Source organism: Homo sapiens, chromosome 6, assembly GCF_000001405.40.
Source record: "Homo sapiens chromosome 6, GRCh38.p14 Primary Assembly".
In the NCBI taxonomy this organism is placed as follows: Eukaryota; Metazoa; Chordata; class Mammalia; order Primates; family Hominidae; genus Homo; species Homo sapiens.
The window spans coordinates 50,817,244-50,830,421 of record NC_000006.12 but is presented as its reverse complement, the minus strand read 5'-3'; the positions used below and the strand labels follow the sequence as shown (position 1 = coordinate 50,830,421).

Genomic DNA, 13,178 nt, shown 5'->3' with positions numbered 1-13,178 from the left:
CATAAATATTCACATTTCACTGACAAACATATACAAGCTCTGAAACCAAAGCATCCCACATCTAAGAAAATCTTCAGCTCTGTTTTGCTAGGCAAGCTAAGTTACAAATATTTTTATTGGACTGGCTATTAATAACATTTCTGATTGGTCATCTGTTGGGCATGTTCCCCTGCCAGCCCAAATGATGTTGCTAGGATACAGAACCCTGAGCTAAGTGGTTCTAGCTTTCCATGAAAAGGGAGGAGGAACTAAAACAAACTGAAAAAAGCCAATGGAGAAGCTCCTCCCCGACCCCACCCTAATCAACCAGCAATTAACCGAAAGAGGAGACCCAAGAGAAAACAGGAAAAGTGAGCTGTCAGTCAGCACAGTTGCAAATTTAAGCACCGAGCCTGGGTATCCTAGCAAACCCAAAAGCTGGCATTAAAAGCCAAAACAATATTATTTGAAGATGAGAGAGAGAGAGAGAGAGATGTTTGAAGCAACCACTAAAATAAATAGTTATGCCCCAAACCTTACTATACTTTAGGATATTCATTCCAAGGCCAAATGGCATCATTGCAAGTACAGCTTCCCCCACCCACCTTTCAAAGCTACTCTTCCTGACTTTGTAAAAGAAGACAATTTAGAATACCTCACCCTGTTTGGAATCCTTATTCCACAACCCTCCTACTATCCCATTTGAGTCTGGATGAATTACTTCCCAAAGAATTTTTTCTTTTAATTGTTTTTGTTGAATGTCAAGTGGCTCAAGTGAATCATAAATGATTGAAAGCTGAGGATTGTTGACACTAAATATAGAGACAGAATTTCTTCGACATCCATGAGAAAGGGTTACAGTATTAAAATTGTATCGTCAAATGCCAGTTCCTGTGATAATTAAAGATTGCACTGTTTACACATTTAAACTCCTAAATTTGTGGCATTTGAGTGACATTCAGGCCTTTTAGCAGCTACACTAATCGCCAGGCATTCTCTCAGTGACTGTCAGAGAAAAGCAGAAAAAATTAAGCAGCTGCAATACACCCAAAATGAGTTATTGTAATTACATTTAATTAGTTTAATTAGTTAATTATTTTGCTTACAGCTGTACAAGAGACTGCAAACATTTGTTAATATCACATGCCCTTTAACAGTATGGGGTGATTCCACAGTCACACTAAATCATGAATGCATATGTAGGAAGATTTAGAAATGTGCATAGGCTGTCTCAGCTTCTCAGGATGCGCATATTTAGCAACAAATTTGGCACAATGAAAAAATAAATAAATAAAAACAACTCATAAAACATAGAGAACTGGGAACAAAATTATCACCAAAAAAATCAAATACAAAACGAAGAAAGAGCTATCTCAATAACATAAGCTTTAACTCAGCAAACTCCAGTTATCATTGAAATAATTGTAGCACCTTCTTGAAACCAGTGTTTACCAGCCAATTCCACACATGATGATAGCTCAATTATTTAAGATGTATCAAGAATGGCTACCAAATATGCCATGAGAAAAATTGCAACAGTCTGTCTCACTCATCTGAATTTGTGTCTGATGTTTTCATTCTCCCTTGCCCAACTTCCATCTTCCCAACATGCCCTTTCCCCTAATCTGACAGCCATTGTCCTATAATTGTGAACAAACATTTATGTCTTGTCAAATAATGAATTCCCCCAAAGTGAAAATTCATCATAAAGACGTTAATGCATGAGAGAACTTTGCTTACTTTTTGGGGGGAATTATCCATACCTTTTTTAATGACAGACTGGTCCAATAGATTCATGCCGCTGTTATTGGCATCTTCAACTGACTGTGAATATAAAAACATCACTATTCAAATTGACAGGATATTAAAGAATTGCACACATAAATCATGTTATTCCAAACTGGAGTTTCTGTTATTTCCATTTATATTAATTCACAAAGGGCTGTTTTATTATTATTATTACCTCCAAATAGACATAGAAATGAAATTTACTCAAATTATAAATTTTTCCAATGGAAGAAGTGGAGAAAGAAAACTTTGAGAGACATCTGGGATGCAACATTGGTTTAGTTATTATATAAAACATAGATATTAGACAGATAAACCTTTATATTATTTGCTCTTATGAATTGTAAAAATTTGGCAACAGCTGACAGATTTTCACCAATATTAGTAAGAGCAATTTGTGTTTTCCATTCTATCCCAGTGCATCTTAACCCCAGAGCCATTTTACAAATACATAATAGTTTACATTATGGGATTTTAATTAAAGTCTGAGCAATTTGGAATGGAATGCAAACAGCAACACATAGGAACATGTTTGCAAGCCTCTAGGACTGCACACCCATTACAGCCCATACACGTTCCTGTAAACTATGAGCTTCTTGCTGCACAATGACAGTCTCTTGGAGGAACCTTCACAATTTACCCTCCCTCCCAGTCCTGCTGATGCTGCTTCCCAGCAAGGAGCACACCTGTTAGGAAGGCAGTAACTACAGACAAGCAGACACACACAAAGGTCTAGATCCTCCCAGTCAGCACCTAGGTAATCGCAAGGAATGTTCATCTTCTGTGCCACAGTTTCATTCCAGAGAAGGAAAGTTTCAACTCTGAGCACTGGTAGCACTTCTGAGAGGAAATAGCTGTTGGAGCAAGTTTCTTACTGTCAGAATACACATGAACAGTTCTGGCTGTGCATCCCAGGGCGTCCAAAAGCAGTAGATTCCCTTTCTCTCCCTACCAAGAAAATAAATGCTAGGTCTTTCTAAAATCTACAACTACTTTCTTGACCCTTCAAAACCTAAGTTGGGACCAAATTGTTACCCACTTTATAGAGAAGTAAAAAGCAAAGGGCTTGAGAGTGAGGAGCTGTTTTCACAGCACTCACACCGACTCATGCTGCATCCTCACAGTGTGAGTTCATCACAAGAAAAAGACTGTCTACCCCAAACAAGCAAAACTTTAGAAATGAGATGATCTAATCGTACAGGGGGCATGTTAATTTGTTTCTTTTCATTTTTAATAGTCACTCTTTTGTTCTCAGAAAAGTGAGCAAAATTGTTATTCTCCATAGGAATTGTTATCCTTGCTGCAACATGCCATGCACATCTTAGGAAATAGTAAAAAGGTGTTTTAAAAATATTTCATGTAACTTGTTCATAACTCCTCAGGGGACCCTGCCACACACAAACACACACGATTCACACCTTTCTATGATCATGTGTATACAGTGACAATGTGTCCAGGCAGGACAGAAATATTCTCCTGTGCCTTGGGCAGCCAGACCCTGACTTACACTGGCCTGGACCCGGGAGCCCTCACACCTTACCCTCACTCTTGTACGTAAATATGTATAAACGCCTCATCAGCGACGTGGGGTAGTTGTGGTAGTTAATGAGAAGGCTCTTGTCTGATTTTCTATCTAATTACGGCCGCCTGCTGGGTTTTTGTACAGGATATTCACGCAGCATGCTGGCGCTTAATCGTCACAGGGAGGATCGTAAAGATTTAATTAGGACTGCATGCGGAAGCGCAGAAAAACAACTCAGACTCGTAATTACTAGACTTCTTTAGTTAAAAGTGATACCAGGGGTTGCTTTAAGACACTCGGGTGTGTTTGAGTGTGTGTATGTGTTTGGGGGGAGTTGGCTTAACATCCTTATATGTTTATATTCATGGGTGGTAGAGGTGATGGGAGGTAAGAGAGCAAAGGTGGGAAGAAGAAAAGAGGTGTACATGACAACTAAACAAATCCCAAACTAGGTGTCCTTTCACTCCCTCTGTCTCTCTCTCTGTAGGTGTTTTCCTGAGTTTTTAACACTTGTAGCCCCCTCCCCAACTAGACACACACACACACGCGCGCGCGCGCGCGCGCGCTCATGCACAATGGGTGAAATGTAGCATACCCAGAACCCAAACAGCGATTTGCTAGTTTAATAGCCCCTGTGAGTAAATTGAAATAGAAATTGACAGGGTTTTATAGTTTCATTTAAAAAAATATTAGAAGCATTTGGTGAATTAGCTCTCCTCTTTCTCTTCTCTCATGGTGGGGGCTGTGGCCCTGAGTGTGGTGCATCTGGGTCACACAACAAAACCCTCGACCCATAGGCAGGGCAGCACCCTCAGTGTCTGCCAGCTCCCTGGCTCAAGGGGATCTGGAACACACACGAGGTCCTTGAGATCGGAACAAGTGACTTTAAGGTCCAGGCCTAGGCACTCTCTGGTCCTTTTAAAGACTGGACCAGTGCAGGCCCTTTTAAAGACTGGACCAGTGCAGGCCACCCATTCGATAGCTGTAGGGAGAGCGTTGAAATCCCAACCTGCTTGTGTAACTTTAGCCCCCGCACCCCAGCTTCCTAACTCGGAAGTGGATCCTTCTGTGTTGAGCAGATGATTGGAAGCCTTCGGATTCGAGGCTGTGGTCCTGGAAACATAACCCCTGGTCTTTGTCACCTGCCCTGCATCAGTCAACTTCACCCTGGCCTTGGGAGGTCTGTCATCACCGCGGAGGCAGAGACCGTCCCTGTCTTTGCTGTTTCCCTCTAGGGACAGGAGCAGGGTGTGTCCCTTGCACTATAGGGGTCGTCCCAAGAAGGTCCCGTGGGCCTCCCGGCAGGTGACGAAATGAGATAAAGCAGGGGAGGAACAGGGTGGGGGTTGGGTGAGTGGAGAGCCTGCAAGTGGCTCCGGTGTGCTGCCTGCTGCTTTTCTCCTTTCAGCTCTCTACCTCTGTGGTCTGTATTCCCGACAGCAACAACTTGGCCCCGAGGTGCTCCGTTCACATAAACACTAAATCCTTTCCGACGCTTTGACAAGACTATTCTCCCAAATGTGCACTGATCTGGCCCTGTTTTTCTCTCAGACTTTGAATTTCACCAAACACAAAAAGACCTCTCTCAATTATTTCTTTAAAAACATTTAACTAAAGAAAACTGCTCCTTCTTTTGGGGGAAAAATTTCTGAGTTCCTTCGCTAGAGTCACTTGGCCTGTAGGGTGGTGGTAACAGGGCCGGCATTAGCATCATCAACAGTAATGGTGATGAGTTGATCCACTTTCATTATCCAGCACTTTGAACCATACTCAGAAAGGTTAATTTAAAAACTTTTCCCCTCGAGACACATATTACCCCAATGCATTAAAAAAAAAACTATTAAATACTTCCTTTTTCATATGATATTCAGAAATGAGCAATATCTCTAGCCAGGAACAGTCAAGCTCAGTTAAATCAACAAAACCATCATCACTCTTATTACTATCAGTAAATCCAGGCACAAATCAGGTAATTCCGTCTTTTTTAAAAAAATAAATAACTGAATTTCTTTTAAAACAATAAACAATCATAGACCACACACAGACAGCATTTGATGCTGTCACCACATTTTAACTGTTTAAAACTATTTTTTTTCAGCAAGGTACAGAAGAATGACTCTTGCACCCTCTTCTCTTTCCCATTTTATTTTCCTTTGCTTCAGAGGTATGTCAAAGGATGCATAATAAATACAACTATGCCAATGAAACTGAAGTGTCAATTACATACCTGTAAACTATATTTATCTTTTCTGCCAACTATTTAACTTAGGGTGAAAAAGCAGACCTGCTCAGAATCACCCAAACAGTTTTTAGGAATCATTTCTTTGATGTTTCTTTGTTTAGTTTAACCAAGTATTCTCAACCAAATCAGGCTCCATTGTGTAGACTGCAGATGGGATAGTGGGTGGGTAGGGGGAGTGTTTTGAGCCTTTTGTTTTAAGAAATAAACACGTGATGCCTCTCAACTGGGATGATGGCAGTGGGGAGAGAAGAGTGTTAATATAGGCGGAGGCCAGGAGAGGGAGGTGGAGAATATTACACTACAGTCACTTAATGAACCAAAAAGTGAAAAGAATTTCCAAAATGGTATCTACCATCATGGACTCCTGAATTATGGCGTTCTGAGTTTCTCCTTCACATATATTCTATTTCTCAGATGAGGACTGCAACTATCTCTTGGAAAAAAGCTCTGTGGCTTATGAGACATTCAAAGCAAGACCTGGCTTAGATGATCAGAGCTCATTGTCATGCTTAGCAAAATCTTTGCAAATTCAGCAGCAACCTCTGGAGCATACAGAGGCCCCTGGAACTTCATTCTGAAGCTCTAGCCTCTAGGCAGCCAGGTCTTCACCTGCCAAGTCAGCAGGACAGCCCCACTATGGGGTGTGTGTGTTGGTAAAGAAGGGGTACCAAGCTGGCTTCCACAAAGCACTAGAGAATATGCAGGAGATGGTAGCTGAGGCAGGACAAAAGCATTCGCCTTTATTCTAATAATCTTAAGGTATCAAAGCAAATACATATTTTTCTTCTTCAAGATTTAATTTCTCGTGGTTTGGATGATCATAATTAGACCTCTGGAAATCGCCACTATAGAGCCATACATACAGACACACATAAACAGTTCTATATGACTGTCTAGTCCTGTTCTAAACATGGGAACAAACTCCCCAAAAAGAGACAGAGCTGCCCTCTCCTGACCTCCCCCCCTCCAGAAGCATTCCTTATTCGTGGTCTTTTTTGTTTGTTTGTTTGTTTGTTTGTGGTTACCTGGACGTCTTCCATTCCGGGATGGCCGAGGCCGTGCAGCGAGAGGCTGTCACCCATGCCCGCGTCCAGGCCGTGGTGCGCCGAATGCAGCAGCACGTCCGGCCGGCGGACCGAGTGGTAGTCCCTCCGGGGGTCAAGGCCCGAGAGCTGGGGCAAGGCGGCCCGAGGCTGGGGCAGGAGAGAGCCGGCTTCCGAACCCACTTCTTGCCGCTGCCGTTGCCCCCAGGGATGTTGCTGGGGCTGGTGCAGTGGGTTCAGGGAGTAGGGGTCGTTGACGTGGGAGTAGGGGTCCTGGCTCTGGTGGTAGGGGAGCGGCTGGTAGGGGGGTGGGAAGTAGGGCGGCTGGAAGTCCGACGACGGGGTGTGGGACAGCGGCGGGGCGCTCGAGTAGGGTCCTTGGGACACCGAGCCCAGCTGGGAGAGCCGCGAGCTGTGGCTCGGGACACCATCGTGCCGGTCCTGGGAGCGGAGAGAGGAAGGGGAAGAGAGCCAGAGAAGGAGACAGAGAAAGAGAGATAGAGGCAGAGAGAGACAGAGAGTACAGAGAGGAAGAAAAAAAATACAAGTGACAAATGGAGAAGCCCGGCTTTTGTACGCTCTTCCCGGGACAAGGGAAGCAAGGATCTGAAACTTAGACCCCCAAGTTGACTCAGAGGGCCACATGATTTCAGCAATTTCAAACCCCAGGCTTGGGGAGAAAATGGGAAAGGAATCACCCACTTAACTATAACATTTTAGCCGCTTTTTGGGGAGTGCAAAGCAGGCAAAAGGCAGGGGTACAGGAACAGTGTGTATGGAGGGAGATTCTAAATGCCTTAATTAAAATTGTAGGAGTCTTACATATGGTGTTTGCTCCTCTGGGTGTTTTTAACTACTTTTTTCTAACTCTTCCAGAGGTACAAATCACAACAAATAAAACTTCATAGTATTTGCTGTGCTGCTCCCCCTGATTAAAAACCAACTTCTGCCTTCGCTGGAAATGCAGCTGGCTGATTAGGAGGAGCTTTCCACACAACCTGATCATTCCAAGAGCTCCAAGGAATCCACCTGGTCTGAGTTCCCAGTCACTCCTCCCTCTCCAGGAGAAATTAAATAACTTAAATAGTGTTTCATTGAAATGGATCTCATTCGAAATCATATCCTAAGCCAATGATGAATTAAGTTGAGTTGTGGTTCATAGGAGTTATTTCTAAGACTGTTTTTCTATATCTAATGCTGTTATACTCAGGATGTGAAAATGAAGGAACTAAAGTTGGGGTGGGGGGAAATAAAAGCCCAGACAACTTATTCCTGGTCCTATCTGGAGTGTGAACTAAGTGAAAGAAGAAGGGGGAGGTGTGTATATGAGGGAGGTGGACTTTGTTTCTCCCTCTCTTCTCTGGAAACATCATGGTAAACTCCCCATGGTTCTTTTTGCAGAAATAGTCACCTAAATTTCCAAACAGCAATGGCAAATAAAAAGTTTTTCTTTTCGGCCTCTCCCCTCCCAGCTGACTCATGGAGCTCAGACGGAGAACACACAATGCAGAGAGAAGCAGCTGCAGCCTCGTCCAATTATGGTGCTAAATTACCAAGCCAAAGGCGCTCAAAGGAAGACAGAGAGAGACAGAGAGTGTGAGACACACACACACACAGAGACGCAGAGACAGAGAGACAGTGAGAGGAGGGAGCATGCAATTCTGGTAACACGTGAATCCAAACTCACCATGGATGAATAGGTGTGGACTAACATCTGGAAAAAAAAGCCTGGTTACTGCTCAAAATCAAACAATGATTAAAAAAAAAATCAAGGAGTCCAGCAGAGAAGCGAGCTGGACACAGGAGCTGAGCTTGATGTGTTTCCAGGACAAGCCATCAAAAAAAAAAAAAAAAAATTACACCCGCCCCCCACCCCAACAAGATTGGCGATGCCTGTCACACACAGACAGAACTATTCATCTGTCTCTTTGCTGTCTTTTTGGCCTCTTTTCTTCTGCCGTTCTTCGGGGCTCCAGATGCAGTCCTCTTTCACCCGAAGCTGGGCTCAGACTGCTCGGCCGCCCCTTCCTCCCTCCGCTTGCCTACACCGCCTCATAATAATTGATATTCATGACTATTAATATTACACGAGTACTTTAAAGGGAGAATAGAGGACAAATGGAGCGTGAAGCAGCAGCGAGCGCAGAGCTCCCCTACTATTGTAAATGACGTTCATTCAGTGGAGAATTACTAGATGTAATCAGACGAGGGGGCTGGCAAAGGCAGACTGGGGAAAAAGTTTAGCAGGAAAGAGGCAGAACTTCAATTAACTGTGCCGGGGACACGAGTAAAGCAGCCCCTGCTCCTTTGGATAAGGCAGTGAGGGAGAACAGTGCTGGGAGGTTGTATAGAATGGAGGTGTCCTCCTACCTGGAGAGAGACTTCCCTAATCCGGAGGACTTGGTCGCCTTGGGTGCTTTGTGTGAGGATTACAAAAACAAAATAAAAAGGGTTGCTTCATCATTTGGAGGCGAGAGAAAGGCAAATTGGTGGGCCTGGTTATTTACAGTGACTTTTGCAGACTTTTGCTAAATGTGGAAGATTATGCTCATTTGTTAAAGGACAGAAGCGAGATGGAGGCTTTTCATTCCTGTGCAGCCTTTTCCTGTTTAGTGCTCACATAGTTTGCGATTTTTACCTCAATTTAAAACATACGCCATCAATCTTCAAATACACTAAACTTATCCTTTCCAGGCAAAGCCAGGGGCAACAGAAAACCTTTTTGGATGTTTCAGGAACCCGTTCAACTGGCCTGACTGCCATTTCTGTTAAAGTTCAACCTTAGTCCAGACTTAAATAGGCTCCTTCCACCGAGCTGCGGATTCTGTTTTTTGAGCAGAAAATTTAGGCAGATAGGACCACCTGTAATATTCCCTCTCTCTCCCTGTTTATTTCTCTTTCTCTCTCTCCCTCCCCTCTTTTCTCTTCTCTCTTCCCTCCCTTCCACTCCACCCCTCCCTCTTCCTCTCTCCCTCCCTCCTTTCTTCTCTCCCTCCTTCCTTTTCCATTTAGCTACTTTACTTTCTGTAAAGAACGAATGTTACCCTGGTTACTTTTTAGAACCCACTGAAATGCCTCTGCATGCATATAGCTTGAGCTGTTTTCACCATGGCCCCGTGCTTGCTAATGTCATGCCCACTTTGGGCGCTAATATTCTTTAGGACAGTTCTAGCGCCTTGGACTTTACCATTATCCCGCCTGTTAAGGAAAGAAAAGGAGGCCGAACCGAAACAATCCCCACCAGGCGCGTAGGCGCGGCTCTTCGTTACAGTCGATACACAACCACAAAGAGAAAAGGAAAACCCCAAGCATCATTCAGCAACAAGACCAATCTCTCTCCTCTCTGCTCTCTCGCGCTCTCTCCTGCTTTTCTCCCTCTCCTCTCTTATCTCCTCCTCCTCTCTCCTACATACCTCCACACATACACACACCCCAACATTAGGATTCGGGGGGGGGCAGGAGGTGTGGGCGCCAGGCGCTGCCTGTGGGCGCTCGTCCGAGCCCGAGTCCCCCAGGAGCTTGCCGGCCGCGCCTGTGAGTCGCCCACTCTTAGGATCTTCGAGGCGGCTCTGCGCCGGGCTTTCAGGAGCTGTCCCGATCCGGAGGGGTCGCGTGTCTTTCTCGGCTCTTTGGGGAGCCTCTGCATCCCTCCACCTTTCGTCTGACCTAGCGGCCCGCGCCCGCCACCCGGGAGTCTGCTTCTCTTCCTTCCTTTTCTCTCCAACTTTTCCTCTTAGCAATCTCCATGGCCCGCTTCGCCCGCCTCGACTTCCCTCCTTTTCTAAATCCGCTTCGCCTTTCCGAAGTTTTTATTTCCAACCTCGACGTCTCAGCAGAACCTTCCCTTCCTCCCTTCCCCTGGCAACCACCTGGGGCTGTCCCAGACCATTCCGCTTAAAAGCGAGGCTCCGCGGGCTTCCCGGTCCCCAGCCTGGCCCGCCGCGCGCCCCGCGCCTCGCCCGCCTCGGCCGCCTCTCCCACCTCGCCCGCCTCTCCCACCTCGCCCGCCTCGGCCGCCTCGTCCGCCTAGTCCGCCTCGCCCGCGAGTAGCGGAGCCGTCTGGCCGCGTCAGCCCTCGCCCGAGCCGGAAAAGGGCTTTGGCGAGCGCGGTCCGGGCCCCGGAGGCGGCTGGCGTCCTCCTGGCTGGGCGCAACTTCTCCTGCCCCGAAGAGTTGAGCTAGCCTCAGTGCTAGAGACCCGTACGCATTGAACGTGGGCAGAAATTTCCGTGAAAGATGCCCACACAGGAGGCGGCTGCGATTTCTGTTCGGACGCAGTGACCCTCAAGGAAGCAAAACACAAGAAAACAGAAACTAATAAACTGCTACGACTTCTATTTTGCTCTATCCATCCATATCTCCAGCCATCTACTTCTTTCCCGCTAATTCTCTGTCCTCTACTTGGAACCATTTGTTATCAATTTCAGAAATTTTATTGAAAATAAAAATTAAAAGCCCGAGTCTGTTACAAATGAGGCTTGAAAACCCAATTCTCTTCCACACTTAAAACGAGAAAAGCCCCTGACTTTATCAGAATCTCGATTTTCTCTGAGAGCGTGCCCACATTCAGTAGCACCACATTCCCCATCAGAGCTTAAAAGGGTGGGGTGGGGTGGGGGGAGGCGAGGAAAAGGGAAAGAAAAATAAAATAAATAAAAACATTCCTAAATTAAAGTTGTCAGATTTCAGCCTTAAAGTCCCTTTTCAGAGCAGCGAAGTCTTCCCTAGCCAGCTTTTCTAAAAGTTAAAAAAAGCTGAGAAAACCGACCGGAAATCTACGAGTAAATAGCTTAAAAATATATATCATTTGGGGTATCAAGAAGCTCAAATTCTCTATCTGCAAAGCTCTAAGGTGCATCTGGGGGTGTCGACTCACCTCATAGATATCTTCGTACTTGACATTCTCCACAAGCTTCCAGAGCATGATGGCAGCCTGGTCTCTAGGAGGTGAGTGCATTCATGTGAGGAGCAGATGTCTGGCTTCTCAGGACTCCGCTGTCTGTAATGATCCATCTATAATTGGAAATGGGGGATACACACCAAATCCGACGCTCCTCTCCCATCGCAACTTATATCTGTTGTCTCAAACAATAGGCTGGACAAGTAAGCCTCAGCAAAGAGAAAAAACATTATTGCACACACAGGAGTTAGATGCAACCCACAGACATATATACTATAAAAATCATAAACCCGTATTTACACCCAGACACCCACATATAGTTATATAAGCACCTCTGGGTCACACAGTCTGCAGACTCCAAATGTGCATTTAACAAAGAGTTGTTCAGGGTGATTAATATAATATATACATTTTATAACTTCTATATCGAAAATGACACATCATTGTAGCCACTAACTGAAGTCTTTGCAATTCATAATGAGAAACCAGGGGCCATCAGTCCCCTATTTTCTATGTAGATTTTAAAGGGGGACACTTACCAAGATTTTTAAACACAAAAGCTCCCTCCTATTCATGTATGTTCCGGAAGAGAGTATTTTGAAAGGCTGGATATGGGGGATTTTAAGGACTATCTCTGTGTTGATGGCTACACAACTTTTTTTTTTTTAACTTTATCTCTGTCACCATAGAACAAAAAAGCTAGCCACCGTTGATGACCATTTCTAATATTTTCTGGTCATTTTACCTAAAACCTTTGGAAACTTAAATACACCTCAGTTTGTGCTGCTTGTTATTTTAGGTGTTGTTTGTATGCATTTTCAACGGATTCCATGCACCATTCCTCTTGGCTGGAGTCTCCATTTTATCAAGTTTTTTTCAGATGTTGGAAGCAACGTACGCACACGTTCAGACAAGGTTAATTTTGAGCCTTTTTTGCAGAGGCCAAGGACATTTTATATTTGCATCTGTTGTGTATGACTTGTAAGTGGTTTTAATCATGGAGAGTCAAGAAAGGGCCACCCGAATCTTTGAAAAGGTTTAAGCAGAATGTCTTCAAAGAGATAGTGAAAAATATTTTAGTGCATGTGGAGTTTCTTCTTTTTTTTGTATAATTTTTCTTAATAAGATGATTCATATAGTTTTTAAAAAGGAAAACATCATCAGCAACAAGAACAATATTAACCAGACTTAGAAAATGGGCACCATTTAAGGCGCAGGGATTCTGAATTTTATCATGAAATGAATACTCATCTGTTCCCCTGTTCCCCCTTTCCCATCCCCTCTGTTTTTCTACTCCCTTTCAGGGTGCGGAGAGCTTCTCATAGCCGGAACAGACGCCCAGAAGAGGATCTCTGCGCCTGGGACAGAAAAGAAATGCCAGGAGGGACCGAGGAGGGATGGGGCAATTTGGGGTGGAAGTTATTAAGCCTGGTGAGAGTGAATCTGCAAAGGGTGATTGTCTTTAAATCCAGGACTGCTGTGTGCAGCTCTGCGCGAACAGGGATGGACGCTGTTTGAGTACAGGGCTCCGGACAACCTTGTTGGACGTCGATTCAATCAAAACCAAGGAGAAGCTTCATGAACTGCAGAATAAACAATTCTGCAGATTTTTAATTTAATTTTTAAAGATAAGTCAAAGGAAAAGAACACAAAGAAGGTGCTTCAGAAGGAACTTCAGAAATAAACCCCTTATTTCCGGTTGAAT

The 13,178-nt window shown here is 44.5% G+C and overlaps 1 protein-coding gene and 1 long non-coding RNA gene across 7 annotated transcripts in view, besides 4 other annotated features; one reads left to right on the top strand and one right to left on the bottom strand.

Annotated features, from left to right (window-relative positions):
• TFAP2B (transcription factor AP-2 beta) overlaps positions 1-12,067 on the bottom strand; it is a 29,265-nt gene extending 17,198 nt beyond the window's left edge. For 2 of the 6 annotated variants that reach the window (XR_007059334.1, NM_003221.4), the window contains exons 1-3: positions 11,450-11,551; positions 6,557-7,015; positions 1,743-1,803 (exon numbers count right to left, since the gene is read on the bottom strand). Coding sequence is in view for 5 of the 6 variants with exons in the window: in NM_003221.4 (NP_003212.2) it covers positions 1,743-1,803; positions 6,557-7,015; positions 11,450-11,530 (601 nt within the window). In the remaining variant the exon portion in view is untranslated. Of the gene's footprint in view, positions 1-1,742; positions 1,804-6,556; positions 7,016-8,261; positions 8,289-8,944; positions 8,991-11,449; positions 11,587-11,805; positions 11,935-12,012 lie in introns of those variants that run through there. The other 4 variants (XM_017011233.2, XM_017011234.2, XM_011514837.3 and 1 more) reach the window with 4 other exon arrangements.
• Positions 4,070-4,570: an enhancer, noted in NCBI's record as "H3K4me1 hESC enhancer chr6:50793565-50794065 (GRCh37/hg19 assembly coordinates)". NCBI's record gives its function as "activates a minimal SCP1, AML or CMV promoter by ChIP-STARR-seq in naive H9 embryonic stem cells {active_cell/tissue: H9 hESC(naive)}" and the evidence as "EXISTENCE:reporter gene assay evidence [ECO:0000049][PMID:30033119]".
• Positions 4,571-5,071: an enhancer, noted in NCBI's record as "H3K4me1 hESC enhancer chr6:50793064-50793564 (GRCh37/hg19 assembly coordinates)". NCBI's record gives its function as "activates a minimal SCP1, AML or CMV promoter by ChIP-STARR-seq in naive H9 embryonic stem cells {active_cell/tissue: H9 hESC(naive)}" and the evidence as "EXISTENCE:reporter gene assay evidence [ECO:0000049][PMID:30033119]".
• Positions 6,028-6,157: a silencer, noted in NCBI's record as "fragment chr6:50791978-50792107 (GRCh37/hg19 assembly coordinates)". NCBI's record gives its function as "represses an EF-1alpha promoter that drives an FKBP-Casp9 reporter gene in an ReSE screen in phorbol 12-myristate 13-acetate-treated (for megakaryocytic differentiation) K562 erythroleukemia cells {active_cell/tissue: K562(+PMA)}" and the evidence as "EXISTENCE:reporter gene assay evidence [ECO:0000049][PMID:32094911]".
• Positions 6,223-6,750: an enhancer, noted in NCBI's record as "H3K27ac-H3K4me1 hESC enhancer chr6:50791385-50791912 (GRCh37/hg19 assembly coordinates)". NCBI's record gives its function as "activates a minimal SCP1, AML or CMV promoter by ChIP-STARR-seq in naive H9 embryonic stem cells {active_cell/tissue: H9 hESC(naive)}" and the evidence as "EXISTENCE:reporter gene assay evidence [ECO:0000049][PMID:30033119]".
• LOC124901490 (uncharacterized) lies at positions 11,396-13,177 on the top strand. Its single transcript, XR_007059923.1, has 2 exons — positions 11,396-11,520; positions 12,778-13,177. It is a non-coding gene; the product is annotated as an uncharacterized LOC124901490 (long non-coding RNA).